Genomic DNA, 22184 nt, shown 5'->3' on the forward strand with positions numbered 1-22184 from the left:
TCACCCCAGCCTGGCAACAGAGCAAGACACCATCTAAAAAAAAAAAAAAAAAAAAAAAAAATTCAATGCTGACACAAATAAGGTTTCAATTAAACAACTTCTTTTTTTTTTTTTAAATTATCTGTTTCAGGAAGAAGAACGATTATCCATTCAAAATTTTAGGTAAATTTTTTACTTTTAGTAAAAAATTTTTTTCTTTTTATAGAAGTAAGTATTTTATAATCTTTTTTTTTTTCCTTTAGCAAACTTCTGAATGACAACATTTTTCATATGTCTTTATTGGCGTGCGCTCTTGAGGTTGTAATGGCCACATATAGCAGTAAGTTAAATTTTCATAAATAAACACTTTTGTTCAATTTAAAGTTAAAATGTGGTGTGTTTCTTTGGTCGGGGGAGAGGGATAGTGTGAGGTTAAGGAGAAGGAATGCTTATTTTAGATCACTATATACTGAAGAATGTAATTGGTCATTATAAGCCATTTAAGAGGCTTATTTGAGTTATTTGAGGCCATCTTGGGGATAATATTTCACTAGGCTTCTCTTCTGAGTATACTGGTATACTGAATCCAAAAAAGGTACTTTTTGAAATCCCTCCGAAGACCTTTGAGATTGTAGAGTGCCAAAGGAGTATTCAAGAGTGGCCTCTACTGATATGGAAGCACTGCTGTAACCTCCATGGTTATGAAACTAAAGATTGAAGCTAGAATCCACTGGATAAACAGAACAAAGGCCAATTACAATGTTTTTAAAAACATAAATGTATATCACTTTGCAAATTATGTTGCAAATGTTAAAAGAAAGTTTTGCTTGCAGAAACAAAAGGAACATTTGTATAAGGATGCAAAACACAGAAAAAGAGGAACTTTTAGTTTCCTTATTAGTAAACAGATAAGGAAAACTGTGAATCCTCATTTATAACCAAGAAATGCATATTTTAATGAGATACCATTTTGTAACTAATGAAATTAGCAGAATCTTGAAGAATCTGTCTATCCTCTTACCAAGGATTAATGAGAATTAAAATAGATATGCCAATGGCTGATAAGATACTAAACCTGTTCCTGATATAAGTTTAGGGTATTTAAATCTTTGAAAATTTGAGATCAGCTATAAGTCCTTTCTCTAGGAAAAACACAGATTTGCTTACACTCAAAATTGGAAGGCTATTTCCTATGAGTCCGTAGACTCCAAAATAAAAAATTCTGCTCTAAATAAAAATGGTTTAACCTTTCTACTGTTTTCTTTGTCTGATAATAACTTCCAAAAAAATACCTAGCTCAAGGGTTAATATTTCATAAATAGTTACTTTTTTTTTTCATTTTTAGGAAGTACATCTCAGAATCTTGATTCTGGAACAGATTTGTCTTTCCCATGGATTCTGAATGTGCTTAATTTAAAAGCCTTTGATTTTTACAAAGTGATCGAAAGTTTTATCAAAGCAGAAGGCAACTTGACAAGAGAAATGATAAAACATTTAGAACGATGTGAACATCGAATCATGGAATCCCTTGCATGGCTCTCAGTAAGTAGCTAAATAATTGAAGAAATTCATTCATGTGCATATGGCTAACAAATTATTGTTAGTGAGAGGTGTTTCTTAACATCTACCTCAAGAACATATAGGGAATTTAATGAATAATGTTATTTCAGTCTATAGCCCAAGGATCAAGTGGAATATTAGAATGGAGCTTTAATCGAGCACCCTAAACCATCTAATACAGCACAGTGATTTATTTAAGAATAGCTTTTCTTAAAACATGCCACTTTAAAACAAAACGGATTTTTTTTTTATACTTTAAGTTCTAGGGTACATGTGCACAACGTGCAGGTTTGTTACATATGTATACATGTGCCATATTGGTGTGCTGCACCCATTAACTTGTCATTTACATTAGATATATCTCCTAATGCTATCCCTCCCTCCTCTCCCTACCCCATGACAGGCCCCAGTGTGTGATGTTCCCCACCCTGTGTCCACGTGTTCTCATTGTTCATTTCCCACCTATGAGTGAGAACATGCAGTGTTTGGTTTTCTGTCTTGGCAATAGTTTGCTCAGAATGATGGTTTCCAGCTTCATCCATGTCCCTACAAAGGACATGAACTCATCCTTTTTTATGGCTGCATAGTATATATGTGCCACATATTCCATGGTATATATGTGCCACATTTTCTTACTCCAGTCTATTATTGTTGGACATTTGGGTTGCTTCCAAGTCTTTGCTATTGTGAATAGTGCCACAATAAACATACGTGTGCATGTGTCTTTATAGCAGCATGATTTATAATCCTTTGGGTATATACCCAGTAATGAGATGGCTGGGTCAAATGCTATTTTTGGTTTTAGATCCTTGAGGAATCGCCACACTGTTGAACTAGTTTACAGTCCCACCAACAGTGTAAAAGTGTTCCTATTTCTTCACATCCTCTCCAGCATCTGTTGTTTCCTGACTTTTTAATGATCGCCATTCTAACTGGTGTGAGATGGTATTTCATTGTGGTTTTGATTTGCATTTCTCTGATGGCCAGTGATGATGAGCATTTTTTCATGTGTCTTTTGGCTGCATAAATGTCTTCTTTTGAGAAGTGTCTGTTCATATCTTTCACCCACTTTTTGATGGGGTTGATTTTTTCTTGTAAATTTGTTTGAGTTCTTTGTAGATTCTGGATATTAGCCCTTTGTCAGATGGGTAGATTGTAAAAGTTTTCTCCCATTCTGTAGGTTGCCTGTTCACTCTGATCGTAGTTTCTTTTGCTGTGCAGAAGCTCTTTAGTTTAATTAGATCCCATTTGTCAATTTTGGCTTTTGTTGCTATTGCTTTTGGTGTTTTAGTCATGAAGTCCTTGCCCATGCCGATGTCCTGAATGGTATTGCCTAGGTTTTCTTCTAGGGTTTTTATGGTTTTAGGTCTAACATTTAAGTCTTTAATCCATCTTGAATTAATTTTTGTACAAGGTGTAAGGAAGGGATCCAGTTTCAGCTTTCTACATATGGCTGGCCAGTTTTCCCAGCACCATTTATTAAATAGGGAATCCTTTCTCCATTTCTTGTTTTTGTCAGGTTTGTCAAAGATCAGATGGTTGTAGATGTGTGGTATTATTTCTGAGGGCCCTGTTCTAAACCAAAACAGAATTCTTTAAAGTATTTAGATAATTTATTTAAAGTACAGTTGTTATATATTTGAAAATGCAAATGTCTGCTCTTAAATTGTGAGATTATGCTATTTAGATTATTAAAAAGTGCATTTTTTTCTTGTTAAATATAGTAGGATTCATTTTTTCCCATTATTAAAGTATAAAAATGTATACTATTGTTCAATTATAGGTATTGGTTCAATCAATATAGGGGCACAAATTATATTGTCTAGGATTCTCTTTATAGCATTATAACTATTGATAAGGCTTTTGTTTTAATAAAAGTGGCAACTTGAGGTTATGCTCTTCAAATCAACATAGTTGGATAATACTTTGTGAATCATCAGTTTTGTAAATTAATGGTTTCTTTTGAAACTGTGTTGCATGCTAAGTATATATCTTTTAATTTGTATCAGTATATAGAAGTGGTAATTAAAAAATTAAGACTTTAGGTATGCCATAATCCTAATTTGCACATGTAACCTTAGTTTTAATTTCCTTACGTTTTGAATTTTTAATGACTAAGCGATAATTTATTTCTTAGTGTTTTCTTGTATTGCCATATAGACAGAGTGAATAGAGGAGAGAAACATGGGAAATTGATAGAAGAATGTTACACTCCTATTATTGAATTTCATAACTACTTATGGAATGAATTTACACTTGATAAGGAGTACTTAGAAGAAAACTTTCTGAATCTGGGTAATTAAGTGAAAGTAAAAATAAATAGATAAGTAAATAAAATAAGCACATAGAGTACTTTTTAAAGGCTTATGTGTCCTCTCCTCCCAGAAATTGATATTGAGATATTCCTGTATCATCTGAAAGTGACTATTGTTATTTCTTTTAGAGAATTAATTTTATTTCTATCAACACATATTTATTGAACATACGCCATATGCCTTGAATTGAGAGAGATACTGTGAAGATACAAAAAAGATAAAGGCTTGGAAAATTGTGGAGGATGTAATAGAAATTTACTGTTTAAAAATTGTTTGTACTCAAGCCTGTTTAGCTCAGTTATTTAGGGCTTCTAAACAATATTCCTTTATTTTTGAGAATTTTTGGAGAAAAAGTGACAAGCCCCAAATCTGGAAAAGAGTATGATTGATTTACAATAGGAGACGTGGAAGTCATAAGCCTCTGAATTTAAATATTAAATGTAGTATCTCTGGCAGATGAAACTATAGAGGACTTTTATTTAGTCATATATTTTTAGTGTTTGAGTCTTATATTACATTTTTAATCATAAAAACCTTGAGTGGTAGTGGATAACTTTGTGAAGATAAGTTATGCCACACAAACAGGATACTGTGTATTTTTCCTGTGAGAATAATTGACATTATAGAGAAGGGATATGGCATAGATACATTTGCGTTTTCACAGACTTTTTTTTAAAATTTGAAATATAACACATATTAAGAAAAGTATATATCTCAAGTGACAGTTTGGTGAATTTGTCACAAATTGAACACATCCGTGTAAACAACACCCAGATAAAGGCCCAGAGCAAGCTTTCATAGTCTTTTGATTCTGTGTCATAATAAAAAATTCTCGTTAAAACTGTAGATTGATAGGAACATATTCACACAGAGTTGTTGACTGAGGGAAATTTCAAATGAGGTGCTGCTTACTTCTCTCCTGCCAATAATTTAATGAAAGAAAGAACATCATCTTATTTTTAATGGTTGTGTGGGGAACTGGGTTCAGCATTTTTGCTTGACAGCCTTGAGATAAAATAAATCCATAAGGAAAAAGCCCACTTCTGTTTCTTTTCATCCCAGAGAGATTAATGGGCAATATATGAGTGTAAGATACTGGAAAAGTCTGTTGAGAAACCTAGTGAAATCTCATTCTCTGAAAAGTTGGGGGATTACAGGTGCTATCGAATGCATCATACCTAAGGGTTAGATGAAATGACTTCCAAGAGTTTGGCCCTATTAAATCTGTTAAGAGGTTTATAATGCCAGCAGGTGATGAAATGAAATTTGGATGCCTTAGTTTCAGTATTTTCAGAATTTATCATATTTTTTCAATAAATGTTTATAAATCAAAGTATGTCAGATGCTTTATTCCCTATATGATCTGTCTTTCCTGGACTATTCTGGACTCTTCCTATTGATCTCTCATTTGCTACCTTGAGACCATTTCTCTCACAGCAGCCAGAGAAATCTGCTCATAATGTAAATCTCATCATGCTAATTCCTCAGGTAAAAAACCTCCTGTGGAGGACATATTCATCTGGTAATGTTGGAAGAAGACCCTACCATATGGCTTTCTGCAAAAAAGACCACTATACTACCTGTTTGGAATACAAAAAGTAACTGACTGAAATTACTGGACAGGAAGAACAGATGCTAGTTGAGAAAGAGAAGAGGGGAGCTGGGAGCCTGAGGAGAAGGCTTTTAGTCTAGGGCTAAGTGCAGTAGGTATAGGGAAGGACAGTAAGGTAGGGCAGGGATGTCAGTGGGAAAACTATGGGTCTCTTCACCAGGAAAACTGGAAAATTGAAGCTAGGGAAACCTTGGCCACTGAAGAGAGTGGAAGAATCCTGCAAGGGAAAGAGCCAAGAAAGGGTACCCAGATTCTGTCTGAAATCTGAATAATTCCTGTGTGTCACAGACTCAGAGCAGCCAAATGAAGGGCAAAAGATCTGAACTGAAACTGGAGTTGCTGCCCAATAAACAGAACAGTTCAAGTTAAGCAAAGATAATTGCTTCTTACAACAAAACCATTCTCATTTTAGAAAAATAACAGAATTTAGGATCTTCACAATGTAACATTTATGATGTTCAGGATACAGTTCTAAAATTATCCAGCATAGAAAGAAGGTCAAAGAAACCAAATGCTGGTTTATAGAATAGGAGCTTTAGGCCAGGTGTGTGGTGCACACCTAATCCCAGCATTTTGGGAGGCTGAGGTGGGAGGATCATTTGAGCCCAGAAGTTCAAGACCAGCCTGGGCAACAAAGCAAGACCCCATCTCTTAAAAAAAAAAAAAAAAAGCTAGGTGTGATGGCATGGTGGCATGTTCCTGTGGTCCTAGGTACTTGGGAGGCTGAGGCAACACAGCGAGACTCTGTCTCAAAAAAATAAAAAATAAAAACAAAAAAACTAGAATGGGAGCTTTAAGTTAACTTTGGTTAGGCATTGCTAAATGATGGGGATACATTCTAGGAAATACTTCATTTAGGCAACTTTGTCATTGTGTGAACATCATAGAGTGTGCTTACACAAACCTAGGTGGTATAGCCTGCTACACATCAGGGTAGGAATAGCCTGTTGCTTCTAGACTACAGACCTGTATGGTATTTTTTTTTTAATCTCCACTCTTGAGTATGTCTTTTTAATATTCAATGTGATGAAACTGAAGTATGTAGAAAGTTGCATACCAAAGTATGATAGCTGTCTTGAGGAAAAATACTTATTTTATTGGTTGAGTTGTGAACTGAACCCGTCACTCTTTTCGTGAAACACATGTGTTACTTGTAAGACTGATAAGCAATTGTGTTTATTTATGCTTGGGTATGTGGTAGATTCTTGAAAGTGAACAAAGTGAGCCTGTCATTTCAAAGAAAACAACTGACAGTAAAGGTTGCCAATGATAAATTTTGTGTTTTCAAGTAAAAATTAGAATTTTAGAAACTTGTATCCACCACTGAAAGCTTGACAGAGTCCTAATATATAAAATACTTTTCTGATGAAATCGGTGGTGATATCAATGAATGTGAGAGATTTGTAAACATTTACAAGAAGTACATAATTCAGTGAACCAGTATTTCCAAATGACCAAATACATCGTTATAAAATCATTCACGGGTAAGATATTCATTAAAAGTTCAAGATAAACCAATGGATTTTAAAGTCTTAAAATACGAAAAATTTATTTCGGTTCATTGAGATTGTTTCCAGTTCCGCCCTGCAACTAACCTTTAAGAAACTATGACTTGTCGAGTTTTGGCGTAGTGTCAGAAAACAGTAACCATAATTATCTGAAAAGGTTATTAAAGTACTCCTCCTCTTTCCATATGAGGCCAGATTTTTCTTTGTATACTTCAACCTAAACAGCATATTGCAACAAAGTAAATGTAGAAGCGGATAGGAAAATTCAGCTCTTTGCTGTTATGCCAGATAGTGAAGACATTCAGAAGATCATAAAACAGTGCTATTGTTCTATCTTTTTTGTTTTGTAGAATATGGTTATTTTTCATTAAAAATTATTTATGTTAACATAATGGGTTTATTAAGATAAATATTTTTAAATTTTCTCAAGTTCTTTTGAGCCCTCAACATCCTTTAATGTAAAAAAGCTATTAGCTACTTTATGCTTCCTAATGGAAGAATATATAACCACCTTGAAAACATGATGTTGAAAGAAGCCAGTCACAGAAAACCACATATTGTATAAATTCATTTATATGAAATGTCCACAAGAGGCAATTCAGTAGAGATAGGAAGTAGATTATTGGTTTTCTAAGGCTGGTGGGGAGGACTAGGTGTTTTGAGGATGATGGCTAGAGAGTATGGTTTTTCTTTTTGAGATAATGAAAATGTTGTAAAATTGACTCATTATTGTAGTCAATTTTATAACACTTTTATCATCTCTGTGAATATACTAAAAACTATTGAATTGTACACATTAAATGGGTGAATTGTATAGGATGTAATTTTTTAAATTTCTGTTTTAATTAAATTTTAACTAAATTAAGTTTTAATTACTAACAAAGTAAATATTAATAGATTTAACCCACACAAACAAAAGCTTTTGGGGTCCTTAGTAATTTTAAGAATATAAAAGGGTTTTGAGTCCAAAAAGTTTGAGAACCCTTGCCTGTATTCTCTTCCCCACTCAGACTTGTCTTTCACTCACACAACCATGTTTGTTTTTGCCTGTCCCTGAGTCTTGAAATGCTTTCCTCTGCCTTTTTCTTGACCAGATTTTAAGGTCCATTTTGCCTTTCCTGATCATCCTAGTCTATAGTCATTCTTCCCTCATTTAGTCTTAAATTGTTTATTATCTATATACTTAACTAGTCATTTATAAACTTTGTTTTACTATATGTGCATATCTCATGTTAAATTCATGTAAAGTACTTAAAACAATATCTGACATTGTATTATAAAATGTAGCAGTTAATTACATAAGGGTAAAGAACAGAGAGGAGTCAACTTATGATGACATGCAGGTTTCTGGCTTGTATAACTTAAGTGGATAGTAGTGTCATTCATTAAAATAAGATACCTAGGATTGAATGAGGTTTGCTTGGGAAGATGAATTTCATTTGATGAGTTTTAAGTAATTATAGGTCATTTCAATAGAGGTGTCAAGTAGCAGTTGGATATGTGTGTCTGGAACTTAGGAAAGAAATCTAGGCTAAGATTATGGACCATAAAAAATGCCACCCTTTTTTGACAGTTTATCTTGTGCCAGGCACTTTGGTGAGCACTTCTTAAATTTAATTTTCATCATAATCCATGAGGTAGTTTACCCTAGATCAGGAAATGAATGCTTAGAAAAGTTTAATAACTTGCCCTAGACCACACAAGCAAAATGGCAAGATCTGTGATTTGAACCCAGGTCTTTCTGGCTCCAAAGCTATTAATCCTTATGCTTTGCTGAGTAACTGAAGTTTGGAGAAGGGATAAGATCACTTAAGGGGAGAATATAGTATGAGAAGAGAAGGAGGCTAAAGATAGAATTCTAAGGAGCTCTAACATTTAAAGGATGGACAGAAAAGAGAAGCCTGTGCCTACAAAAGAGATTGAAATAGAACAGCCAGGAAGATAAGAAGAAAATCAGGAGAAGTGGTATCATAGAGAGACCGACCAGGTGCAATGGCTCCCGCCTGTAATCCCAGCACTTTGGGAGGCTGAGGCAGGTGGATCACTTGAGGCCAGGAGTTCGAGACTAGCCTGACCAACATGACAAAACCCTGTCTCTACTAAAAATACAAAAATTAGCTGGGCCTGGTGGTGAATGCCTGTAATTCTAGCTACTCGGGAGGCTGAGGCATGAGAATCGCTTGAGCCCGGGAGGCGGAGGTTGAGTGAGCCAAGATTGTGCCACTGCACTCCAGCCTCAGTGACAGAGCAAGACTCTGTCTCAAAAATAAAATAAAATAAAATTAAATTAAATTAAAAACTGAAAAAAAGGAAAAGGAGAGAGAGAACATTACAAAGTCTGAGTGAGTGCTTGCTCACTCAGACTTTTCAGATAGGAGCTGAAAAGTTTTAGCAACAATGAAGTCACTGGTGACAGTGACAAGGACTGTTAAATGAAGGGGTGGGGATAGGATGAGATCTGAATGAGAGATAAAGTGGACACAGTCAAATAGATGGCTTTTATCAAAAGTTTTGCCTGTGAAGAGAAATAAAGATATAACAGAAGTAAAGATACAGCTTGATGTATGTGAAGTAGAGGGAATATAAACATATTTTTTAAATCAGAAAGGTAGGGTTTAAATATTGATGGAAAAGAGCCATTAGAAGTGTTCTCTATTGCTGGATAACAAATTAGTGGCTTTAAACAAATATTTTATTTTGCTTATGATTTTTTGGGTCAGGAATTTGGGTTGAACTTGACTGGGTGGTTTGTCTCCGACTATGTGTCAGCAGGTGCCTGGAGCTATAGGGTCCACTTCCAAGATGCTTCTTCACTCACAGGTCTGGCATCTTACCGCTCCTTGGTGCACACTCAGCTCTCTTCCTCCCATCCTCCCTCCCTAGAGTGGTTAGAATGTTAAGCTTTGGAGTTTTCACCTGCAGAGAGAAGATAGGAGATTCATAGTGAAAGTAGAGGTTTTAAGAAACAGGATATTTGGCAGGGTGCAGTGTCTCACACCTGTAATCCCAGCACTTTGGGAAGCCAAGGTGAGAGGATTGCTTGAGCCCGAGTTCAAGACCAGCCTTGGCAACATAGGGAGACCCTGTCTCTACAGATAATTTTTAAAATTAGCCAGGTGTGGTGGCACACACCTGTGGTTCTTGGGAGGCTGAACTGGGAGAATTGCCTGAGCCTGGGATGTTAAGGCTGCAGTGAGCTGTGATTGCACCACAGCACACCAGCCTGGGTGGTAGAATGAGATCCTGCCTCAAAAACAAACAAAACAAGCAAACAACCCCAAAACAAACAAACAAAAAGTAACAGGATATTTCATTAAATAATTCATTCATTAAATAATGAAGTTGAACGTAATGAATTTAATGAAGTTTAATAGGTGTAGTGGGAGTAACAATGAGAATGAAAGTGTAGGAGGTTGTAGTCAAAGAGTTGTTTCACCTTAGAATTTCTGGAGACAGAACATTTCTGGGTAGTTTACTGTATTTTAAGAAATGATCTTGGGAGTGCATGAGGATCCTGGCCAAGGAGCCAGAAAGTACAGTGAGCAAGAGTCCAGGACATGTAGCAAGGAGGAATGTGACTGAAATAAAGACTAATGTCTTCAGTGCTTGAGGGGAGTAACCAGGAGACAAGTGGGACTAAATGGGGCAGAGGGCTAGAGAGGTCCTGAAAGCAAAACTCCTGGCTCACTTAAAAAAAAACTAATCTCTCTCTCAATACCTAATCTAATGTCTAACATATAGAATTTAGGTGCATAAAGCATTAGATTTGTAATGTCCTTTGATGAATTTACCTCTTTAATCATTATAAAATGACCCTCTCTTTATCCCTCGTAATATTGTTTGCTCTGAAAACTACTTGTGCCTGATACTAGTGAAGCCATTCCAGCTTTCTTCCCATTAATATCAACATGGCATATTTTCCCCATTCTTTATTTAACTTATACGTGTCTTTATTCTTAAAGAAGTGATTTTCTTATAGGCAGCATATTGTTGGGTGTTGCTTTCTTAAATCTTGCCTAACAGTATCTGCCTTTTAATTGGGATGTTTAGATTTAAATTTAATGTGACTATTGATATGGTTGGGTTTAAATTCTCCATCTTATTATTCATTTTCTATTTGTCTCATCTCCCTTTTCCTCCCTTTCCTCTTTTTCTGCCTTCTTTTGGATTGAATTTTTAAAATTCTGTTTTATCTTCTTTGTAGGCTTACTGTCTATACTTCTTTATTTTGTAATTGTTTTTTGATTTATAATATGAATCTTTAATCTTTAATAGTCTTTCTTTAAATAGTATTACACTACTTCACATACAGTATAAGAATCTTAGAATAGTATATTTCCATTTTCCCTTTTCCAACCTTTGGGCTGTTGTTGTCATACATTTTGCTTCGACAGAAGTTATAAGCTCTACAATACACTCATAACTTTTGTTTTAAACCAATTATCTCTTAAAGAGAATTCAAAACAAGAGAAAAAAGATGTTTTTATTTGATTACATATTTACCTTTCCAGTACTCTTCATTCCTTGTGTAGATCCAGATTCCTTTTGTTTTCCTTCTGACTGTAAAACTTTTTTTGGCCAGGGGCAGTGGCTCATACCCGTAATCCCAACACTTAGTGGGGCTGAGGCGGGAGGATCTCTTGAAGCCAGGAGTTCAAAACCAGCCTAGGCAACAAAGCAAAACTCTGTCTCTATTCTTATAAAACAAACAAAAAGCATTTCTATTTTTTTTTTCTTTTTGAGATGGAGTCTCTCTCTGTCACCCAGGCTGGAGTGCAGTGGCGCGATCTTGGCTCACTGCAACCTCCACCTCCTGGGTTCAAGCGATTCTCCTGCCTCAGCCTCCTGAGTAGCTGGGATTACAGGCACACGCCACCATGCCTAGCTAATTTTTATATTTTTAGTAGAGAAAGGGTTTCACCATGTTGATCAGGCTGGTCTCGAACTCCTGACCTCGTGATTTGCCTGCCTCGGCCTCCTCCCAAAGGGCTGGGATTACTGGCATGAGCCACCGCACCCAGCCAACAAAAAACATTTCTTGTGTGCATGTCTACTAGTGATGAATTCTTCCAGCTTTTATGTCTGGAAAAAAACATTTTACCTTTATTTTTAAAAGGTCTTTTGCTGGGTATTGAATTCTAGGTTGACAGTCTTTTTGTTTTTTCTTTGAGTGCTTTAAAAATATTGCTCCACTGTCTTCTGGTTTGCCTTGTTTCTTTTTTTCTTTTTTTTGAGATGAAGCCTCGCTCTTTTGCCCAGGCTGGAGTGCAGTGGCATGATCCCAGCTCACTGCAACCTCTGCCTCCCAGGTTCAAGCGATTCTTCTGCCTCAGCCTCCTGAGTGACTGGGACTAAAGGCACATGCCACCATGCCCGGCTAATTTTTGTATTTTTAGTAAAGATGGGGTTTCACCATGCTGGCCAGGCTGGTCTCGAACTCCTGATCTCAGGTGACCCACCCACCTTGGCTTCCCAAAGTGCTGGGATTACAAGCATGAGCCACCACGCCTGGCCTTGTTCTTTTTTTGCTGTATCTTTTTCCTGCAGGTTTTTCTTTCTGTATTTCATGTTGAATACCTTCTAAAGCTATGTCTTCAAGTTTATTAATTTTTTTCTTCTGAGGTATCTAATCTGCTATTAATCTCATTTATTGTATTTTTAGTCTTACTATAGTTTTCATTTCTAGAAATTTGATTTGGGTCCTTTTTATATCTTCCATATCTATTTTTATTATGTTTATGCTTTTCTTTACCTTCTTGAACATATGGGATATAGGTATTATAACTTTTTAAATGTCCCTGTTACTAAGTCTAGTACCTATGTCTTTTTAGGTCTGTTTCTCTTGACTGATAGTTCTCTCTCTCTCTCTCTTTTTTTTAAGAGTCGTATGTTTCTGCTTTTTTGACTGCTTGGTGATTTTTTTGTTAGGTGCCAGATATCATGAATTTTGCTTTAGTGGGTCCTGGATATTTTTGTATTCCTTTCACTATTTTGACCTGTGTTTTGGAACACAATTAAATTATCTGGAAATAATTTGACTTTTTTAAGGCTTCATTTATTTATTTATCTGGTTTTTGTTTTTGGACACAGAGCAGTCTTTAATCAATAGCCGATTTTCCTTCACTATCCAGGCATTGCTCTTCTGAGTACTCTACTGAATATCCCATATATGACAAGGTTTTTCCACTCTGGCTAGTTGAAAGCAGAACTCTTCCTGACCCTGTGTCAGCTCCTGGAAGGATTCTACTCCTTCCCATGGTTCTTCCCTGGTTTTGAGTAGTATCATCACATCCATGCACTGATCAGTACTCAGCTGAAGACTCAAGCTTAACCCTCTGCAGACCTCTGGAGTTCTCTTTTTGTAGCTTTCTTCTCTCTAGTATTCTGTCCTGCTAATTTTAGTTTGCCTTGGCATCTCCCATTTCTTAACTCTGTTTCTTCAACTGGGGGACCACTGGGCTGCATTCCAGTTTCTCATCTCTGGACTGTGGACCATAAACTGTCCCCAGGCAGTAAGCTGTGGCAATAATGAGGCTCACCATTTGTTTTCCTTCTCCCAGGGATTGCTGTTCTGTACTGCCTGTTGTTTATTGTGTAAAAAGAATTCTTTTATTTATGTTGTTCAATTTTGTGGTTGTTTAAACGAATCTGGTCCCTGTTTCTTCATCAGAGCTGGCAGGGTTACTAAACGTAAGGCTTAGTGATTGATGAAGTATTTACAAATATGAAATATGTACACTTACAGAATATTTAGGGTATCATTTCCGCTTCCTTGTGTTAAATGCATCAGGTCTTCTGACTGATGCATTATACTGTTTCAGAGGGGTGCTTACTATATGGAGAACATAGAAGTACTAGTTATTAACTATTTTTTTGTATTAAATTTTGGTACGTCACATAAACATTGAGTCTCCTTTAAATGTGTCAAATGTAGCTGACTTACTAATTGGATTCTGTCATACTCTTTTTCTGTGGTCACCAAATATTAGCAAATTTCTTCATTCAGTTACACAAGTACTTGGCCAACATACTTTTACATAAGAAAATACTTAGGATGGGCTGGCAAGATAGCCAAATAGGAACAGCTCTGGTCTGCAGCTGCCAGCGAGATCAACCCAGAAGGCAGGTGATTTCTCCATTTCCAACTGAGGTACCTGGCTCATCTCATTGGGACTGGTTAGACAGTGGATGCAGCCCACGGAGGGCAAGCTGAAGCAGGATGGGGCATCACCTCACCCGGGAAGCACAAGGGGTTGGGGAACTCCCTCCCCTAGCCAAGGGAAGCTGTGACAGACTGTGTCATGAGGAACATTGCATTCCAGCCCAGATACTATGCTTTTCCCACAGTCTTCGCAACCCACAGACCAGGAGATTCCCTCGGGTGCCTACACCACCAGGGCCCTGGGTTTCAAGCACAAAACTGGGCAGCTGTTTGGGCAGATACCGAGCTAGCTGTAGGAGTTTTCTTTCGTACTCCAGTGGTGCCTGGAATGACAGCGAGTTAGAACCATTCACTCCCCCGGAAAGGGGGCTGAAGCCAGGGAGCCAAGTGGTCTACCTCAGCGGATCCCACCCCCATGGAGCCAAGCAAGCTAAGATCCACTGGCTTGAAATTCTCGCTGCCATCACAGCAGTCTGAGGTCGACCTGGGATGGTAGAGCTAGGTAGGGGGAGGGGCATTCCCCATTACTGAGGCTTGAGTTTTCCCCTCACAGTGTAAACAAAGCCACCAGGAAGTTCAAACTGGGCAGAGCCTACCACAGCTCCCTAAATCCGCTGTAGCCAGACTGCCTTTCTAGATTCCTCCTCTCTGGGCAGGGCATCTCTGAAAGAAAGGCAGCAGCCCCAGTCAGGGGCCTATAGATAAAACTCCCATCTACCTGGGACAGAGCACGTGGGGGAAGGCGCAGCTGTGGACACATCTTCAGCAGACTTAAACATTCCTGCCTGCTGGCTCTGAAGAGAGCAGCAGATCTCCCAGCACAGTGCTCAAGCTCTGCTAAGGGACAGACTGTCTCCTCAAGTGGGTCCCTGACCCCTGTGCCTCCTGACTGGGAAACACCTCCTGGCAGGAATCAACAGACACCTCATACAGGAGAGTTCCAGCTGCCATCTGGTGGGTACCCCTCTGGGACGAAGCTTCCAGAGGAAGGAACAGGCAGCAATCTTTGCTCTTCTGCAACCTCCACTGGTGATACCAGGCAAACAGGGTCTGGAGTGGACCTCCAGCAAACTCCAGCACACCTGCAGCAGAGGGGCCTGACTGTTAGAAGGAGAACTAACAAACAGAAATGAATAGCATCAACATCAACAAAAAGGACGTCCACACAGAAACCCCATTTGAAGGTCATCAACATCAAAGACCAAAGGTAGATAAATCCATGAAGATGAGGAAAAACCAGCACAAAAAGGCTGAAAATTCCAAAAACCAGAGCGCCTTTTCTCTTCCAAAGAATGACAACTCCTCCCCAGCAAGGGGAGTTTGACGAATTGACAGAAGTAGGCTTCAGAAGGTGGGTAATAACAAACTCCTCCGAGCTAAAGGACCATGTTCTAACCCAATGCAAGGAAGCTAAGAACTTTGAAAAAAGGTTAGAGGAATTGCTAACTAGAATAACCAGTTTAGAGAAGAACATAAATGACCTGACGGAACTGAAAAAACACAACACGAGGACTTTGTGAAGCATACACAAGTACCAATAGCTGAATCGATCAAGCAGAAAAAAAGGATATCAGAGATTGAAGATCAGCTTAATGAAATAAAGCGTGATGACAAGATTAGAGAAAAAAGAATGAAAAGGAATGAACAAAGCCTCCAAGAAATAGGGGACTATGTGAAAAGACCAAACCTATGTTTGATTGGTGTACCTGAAAGTGACAGGGAGAGTGGAACCAAGTTAGAAAACACTCTACAGGATATTATCCAAGAGAACATCCCCAACCCAACAAAACAGGCCAACATTCAAATTCAGGAAATACAGGGAACACCACAAAGATACTCCTCAAGAAGAGGAACCCCAGGACATATAATCGTCAGATTCACCAAGGTTGAAATGAAGGAAAAAATATTAAGAGCAGCCACTGCTCAAGGAAATAAGAGAGGGCACAAACAAATGGCAAAACATTCCATGCTCATGGATGGGAAAAATTATAGCGTGAAAATGGCCATACTGCCCACAGTAATTTATAGATTCAATGCTATCCCCATCAAGCTACCTTTGGCTTTCTTCACAGAATTAGAAAAAACTACTTTAAATTTTATATAGAACCTAAAAAGAGCCCATATAGCCGAGACAATCTTAAGCAAAAAGAACAAAGCTGGAGGCATCACGCTACTTGACTTCAAACTATACTACAAGGCCACAATAATCAAAACAGCATGGTACTGGTACCAAAAAAGATAAATAAACCAACGGAACAGAACAGAGACCTCAGAAATAATGCCACACATCTACAACCATCTGATTTTTGACAAACTTGACAAAAACAACCAATGGGGAAAGGATTCCCTATTTAATAAATGATATTGGGAAAACTGACTAGCCATATGCAGAAAACTGAAACTGGACCCCTTCCTTACACCTTATACAAAAATTAACTCAAAATGGATTAAAGACTTAAACATAACACCTAAAACCATAAAAACCCTAGAAGAAAACCTAGGCAATACCATTCAGGACATAGGCATGGGCAAAGACTTCATGACCAAAACACCAAAAGCAATGGCAACAAAAGCCAAAATTGACGAATGGGATCTAATTAAACTAAAGAGCTTCTGCACAGCAAAAGAAACTATCTTCAGAGTGAACAGGCAACCTACAGAATGGGAGAAAATTTTTGCAATGTATCCATCTGACAAAGGGCTAAAGTCCAGAATCTACAAGGAACTTAAACAAATTTACAGGAAAACAAACAACCCTATCAAAAAGTGGGTGAAGGATATGAACAGACACTTCTCAAAAGAAGATATTTATGTGGCCAACAAACATATGAAAAAAAGCTCATCACCACTGGTCATTAGAGAAATGCAAATCAAAACCACAGTGAGATACCATCTCATGCCAGTTAGAATGGTGATCATTAAAAAGTCAGGAAACAACAGATGCTGGAGAGGCTGTGGAGTAATAGGAATGGTTTTATACTGTTGGTGGCAGTGTAAATTAGTTCAACCATTGTGGAAGACAGTGTGGCGATTCCTCAAGGATCTAGAGCCAGAAATAATATTTGACCCAGTAATCCCATTACTGAGCATATACCCAAAGGATTATAAATCATTCTACTAAAAAGAACATGCACACATATGTTTATTGCAGCACTATTCACAATAGCAAAGACTTGAAACCAACCCAAATGCCCATCAGTGGTAGACTGGATAAAGAAAATGTGGCACATATACACCATGGAACACTATGCAGCCATAAAAAAGGATGAGTTCGTGTCCTTTGCAGGGACATGGATGAAGCTGGAAACCATCATTCTCAGCAAACTAACCAGGAAGAGAAAACCAAACAACACATGTTTTCACTTATAAGTTAAAACTGAACAGTGAGAACACATGGACACATGGAGGGGAACATCACACACCGGGGCCTGTCAGGGGGTGCGGGTCTAAGGGAGGGATAGCATTAGGAAAAATACCTAATGTAGATGATGGGTTGATAGGTGCAGCAAACCACCATGGCACGCGTATACCTATGTAACAAACCTGCACATTCTGCACATGTATCCTAGAACTTAAAGTATAATAAAAAAACAGAAAATATTTAAAATATATCTTTCAAATTATCTTTTCAAATTTAAATCGAGGGTCATTTTATGTATGAGTATAATTTGTAATGAATAGCCCATAGTTTTAGAGTCCTGATTCATTGACAAACTTATAAACAAAATTTTAAGCTTTTTTGGTATTCTTTTGAAATGTCAAAATTGATGGGAAGCAAACACAAAAGGGAGAACAGTCTGTGGCTCTGAAAAAACCAAAAAGGATATCTGTTGTATGTTTGTATGGTGGGTCATTAACCTTTGGTGTACTTTGCAGAAGTATTTTAAGTATTTACCATTGGACATTATTTGTTTTAAGTTATATTTTGCTGAGAGCTACAACTCAGGAAGGCAAGTGAATTGTAAGATAACGATTAAGCCACATTTAACACTTTTTAAAAGCATGGGCCAGGACAATGAAGCAGTATGATGCCATATATACTTTTACACAACAGCCATGCTAATATAATGATAAAGCAATTATGCTATATTTTTAAAAGCTTCTCATGAATTACCTAAAATAACCATGTATTTACTTTTCTTTGCCAGAAAGAGGAAACATTTTATTTTAATTTTAAAAAATTCAATTCTGAAAACATAGCTAAAGCTTTAACCTTTCTCACTCTGACCCAATATATTCCTAATATAGCTTTGCCCTTGACTTCCACAGCTAAATACTAGTTTCTCAAGTGATTTAGGAGACTTGACTTCATTATTCAAAACTGAAATTATTTAGCTTGTTCTAAATGCAACTTTGCTTCCCACTATGTCTATTTTTCCATTACTTTTCAAATCATCTGGGCTTAAATACTGAGCACTTTCTCCTTTTCTTTCTCAATAGTTTGATAGAGTCCTGTAATTTTTTTTTAAAGCTGTCTCTCATATTTATTATATTATTATTTTAATATACTTCATTACACTTCCCTAGAACAGATCATCAGCTCTCTTTAAGTAATTTGTCTGAGGTCACCCAGTTGGCATTTGAACTCATATTGGTTTGATTCCAAATTCCATACTGGTTTCTAGTAAAGGTCTCTGTCACTGTACTACATTATTTCTGTGAAATCATTCATGCTGTTTTTACTACCTCTATAATATATAGTCAGGCATATGGGACAGTATAAAGGGAGCAATACAAATAGTAAGTTAATTTTATTCTAAGTGAAAGCATAATATGTATGTGTATTTTTTATCCTGAGTAACAAGGGAAGTGTTTTGCCTAGGAGCTAATAAGTAACAAGAAAGGGAAAAGTAACATTTGTTGACTAGCTCCTTTGTGCAGTGCACTGTGACTATTGGTCTGGCTTATTCCTCAGGAAGAAGGATTAAAAGAAGACTTTACAAAAATGAGCAAACTATATTATAAAAGTAAATGCTAGTATGCATATATGTTTCATTCATGCAACTCCTAGAAATGAGAATTTACTATAAGTGTTTTCAGAATCCACAATAATTTAGGTTGAAATTAGGTATTTGGATCAACTTTCAAGGGAAGGGGTGACAATGAGGTGAAATAGACATCTAGATTGTTTTCGTAGACTGAAACATTGGACCTGAGGTTTTTGTTGTTGTTTTACTCTTTCTCTGTTTTTAGTAAAAGATTCCAGGTATGCCTAAAGTCATCTTCTATACGAATGCAAAAATGTAACGACAAAGAAGGGAAAATAAAAGAAGGCAATATCTTAGGAATAAATATTTTATAGTGACATTATTTTTCTGCTAGTGAACTAATAATCTACAAAAATTTTAAGATAGATAAGCAGAAAGAATACAAACAAAAAAAGATAGTAATTTAACTCATATGAATAATCATCCACTGAAATGTAGCAAGGATATGCTACATATGAAATGTAATTAGATGATTGCTTAAAGATCTAGGAATATAAGCTCAATGTAATAAAATAACTTTCTTCATCATTGTTAAGGATTAATAAGGCATTAAATGGGTTTTCATGTGGGTCCTCATATGTTAAAAAGGACAACAATAAGAAAATCTAAAGAAACTGAGATAACTTATAAATCAATGCAGGTATTCTGTGTTAAATGCTTATGTAAGCCTGAGTTCTTCATCCAGATCTGTTTATGATTTTAAACATAAAATCATTTTCATTTCTAAACCTTTGCTCAAGTAACTTGTAGTACCTGAGTCCTATGTCTGATCCCTAAGTCTATTCTTTTCTCTATGTATCTATACCCTTCTTTAATTTTAAAACACTCTGACATATGAAAAAATGCCAGAGTTTACTGTAGAGAAATATTCATAACTTGTCTATTCATGTCACTCCTCCCCACCACACCATCCATATTATACACATTACCCATTCTCTTTGTTCATTAATTGGCAAAAGGGACTAAGAAATTCAAGGATGTCCAAAAATAAAAAACAAACAAAAATCTAACAACTCAGGAATGTCCTGTAGGTAGCTCATAGAAACTTAGTTTAGGAAGTAGTGCTCATCACTTGCTTACTTCTTTGGAAGTTTGTCTGATAATTATACAGACCAGCATCAAAATAACTCTCATTTATGTGTGTGACATTTCAGTGTAGAAGTAATAATAGGTAATGTTTTTGCATATGTCCTATTATAGGTACTGTTAAAAGTGCTTCAGTGTATTAACTCATAACTTCTCACAACTCTATGAAATAGATTCTGTCATCACTGTTTCACAGATGGAGAAACTTTCCTGTGTCCACAAAACTGGTTGGTGACAGAGCCAGAATTTTAACTCAGGCTATCTGGTTCCAGAGACTATACTTTTAGCCTCTATGTTGCCTTTTAGTGTATATTAGTTTACTGTTTGGTATGTGCATTGTCATGATTCGTTTATTTGCTCATGTTTTATCTGTGTTTGTATTTTTGTGTTTGTGAGTGTTACTATGCTATGGCAAAAAGGGCCTAGACTTTGAATTAGCGGATCTTACTTAATATTCACAGAAGCCTGGAAGTGTAAACACTGCTATCCCTATTTTATAGATAAAGAGACCTGAGGTCCAGAGATGTCATGTAACTTGCTTTGGTGTGGTTCTGAACAAATTATGTCTCTGTATCTCAGGTTTCCTTGTATGTAAAATAGGGATAACTTTCAGTTGTTGTGAGGAATAAATGAGCATTTATGAGAATAGTAATTAGAAACATAACAATTAATTGTTAGTACCCTTCATTCCTTTTCCTCTGCTATACAGTGATTTCATAAGAACAGAGAACCGAGGATTCAGTTACACAGTATTAACCTGTTTATCTTGGCTTACTATAAGTACAGAGAATTTTTCTCTTCTCTTGAGGCACCCCTCCTCCCCCATCACCTTCTCAAAATGGAAAAAGTTCAGGGGGAAAAGGCATCATGGGACTCCAGCATTGTTAAGTATGGGCAGTGTTCACTGTTATATTACAGTTGGAATTTGTTATGTTGCTTTAGTTATGAATCATGTCAGTAATTACCCTGAGGGTGGTGTTAGTTCACTATTCAAGTACAAACAAGAAGGGAAGTAGCAATGGTAGAAGAATAGCTAGGACATACTCTCTGTACCTAACCTGTGGGATGGAAGCACATATACTCTTATTCAGAGAATTTTATAAAGAGTCATGATGTTAGATAATTACTTGAATTTAGTTTTAGAATTTTCAGTTTGTAAACTTACAGTCAAATCTTAACTGGAATTGTGAGGAAGGGCTCTAGAATTCTGGATATGCAAGAAACAAAGAAGAGAAATAGGAGAAATCGATCCTAATTAGTGTGGCTTCTGAATTTCTGCAGCAAAATAAAAGGCTGTTATTAATTATTGAGTTTACTAAAATTTTAGAACTACTCTAAGGCAATTATGCTTCAATCATCTAAGCTTACTTACCTTTAATTATAAAATAGAACAACTTTTTGGCATTTCATTTTTCCAACTATTTATAGCATGTTTTAAAAACTCTGAACTGTCACGACCCAGTCTGTTTCAACATACACATTTGTGGTCCTTGGTGTTGTTACTAATTTACTTAATTGGGTCTTCATATTTTCAGCTTTTCTCAGAAATGGCCAAATATCAAAGGTATTTTTGGTGTCTTCCTGTAAGTGCTAGATTTAGAACATGATAAGGAAACGTAGAATAGGAAACAGCTGGATTTGTTTCTTAGCCTTTTCAAAAAAGCCTTTTCTTACTTTGCTAAGTTTCAGTGGTTCTTATCTCCACTAAATATAACAACAAATTTATCTTTAAGATTTTGATTATATTCCTTAAGAATTCTTCAAAGACTAACATAAATCTGTCTTGCTATCTTTTAAGTCTGGTCATTTTATCATTATGCCCTTTTCTTATTTTAAGATAATTTAATTGTCTAAAAGTTTTTAAATTTACATATTAAGTAATGATAGTTTTTATATTAGGTTTTATCATTTAGTTTTTTTCTTTTAAACATTAAGATGAAAAAGGTGGAGAAGTGAAATTACTTGTCTTTTACA

At 36.4% G+C, this 22184-nt stretch overlaps 2 protein-coding genes across 5 annotated transcripts in view; one reads left to right on the forward strand and one right to left on the reverse strand.

Annotated features, from left to right (window-relative positions):
- Positions 1-22184, forward strand: part of RB1 (RB transcriptional corepressor 1) — a 178140-nt gene that overhangs the window by 76172 nt on the left and 79784 nt on the right. For 2 of the 3 annotated variants that reach the window (NM_001407165.1, NM_000321.3), the window contains exons 15-17: positions 131-162; positions 243-319; positions 1325-1521. In NM_001407165.1, coding sequence (NP_001394094.1) covers positions 131-162; positions 243-319; positions 1325-1521 — 306 coding nt within the window. Of the gene's footprint in view, positions 1-130; positions 163-242; positions 320-1324; positions 6246-22184 lie in introns of those variants that run through there. The other variant, NM_001407166.1, reaches the window with a different exon arrangement.
- Positions 9649-22184, reverse strand: part of LPAR6 (lysophosphatidic acid receptor 6) — a 55099-nt gene continuing 42563 nt past the window's right edge. For both annotated transcript variants that reach the window (XM_047430024.1, XM_047430023.1), the window contains 2 exons: positions 11478-11639; positions 9649-9890 (listed from right to left, as the gene is read on the reverse strand). In XM_047430024.1, coding sequence (XP_047285980.1) covers positions 9789-9890; positions 11478-11639 — 264 coding nt within the window. In that variant the 3' untranslated portion in view covers positions 9649-9788. The remainder of the gene's footprint in view (positions 9891-11477; positions 11640-22184) is intronic.

Source organism: Homo sapiens, chromosome 13 (assembly GCF_000001405.40).
Source record: "Homo sapiens chromosome 13, GRCh38.p14 Primary Assembly".
NCBI classification, from domain to species: domain Eukaryota; kingdom Metazoa; phylum Chordata; class Mammalia; order Primates; family Hominidae; genus Homo; species Homo sapiens.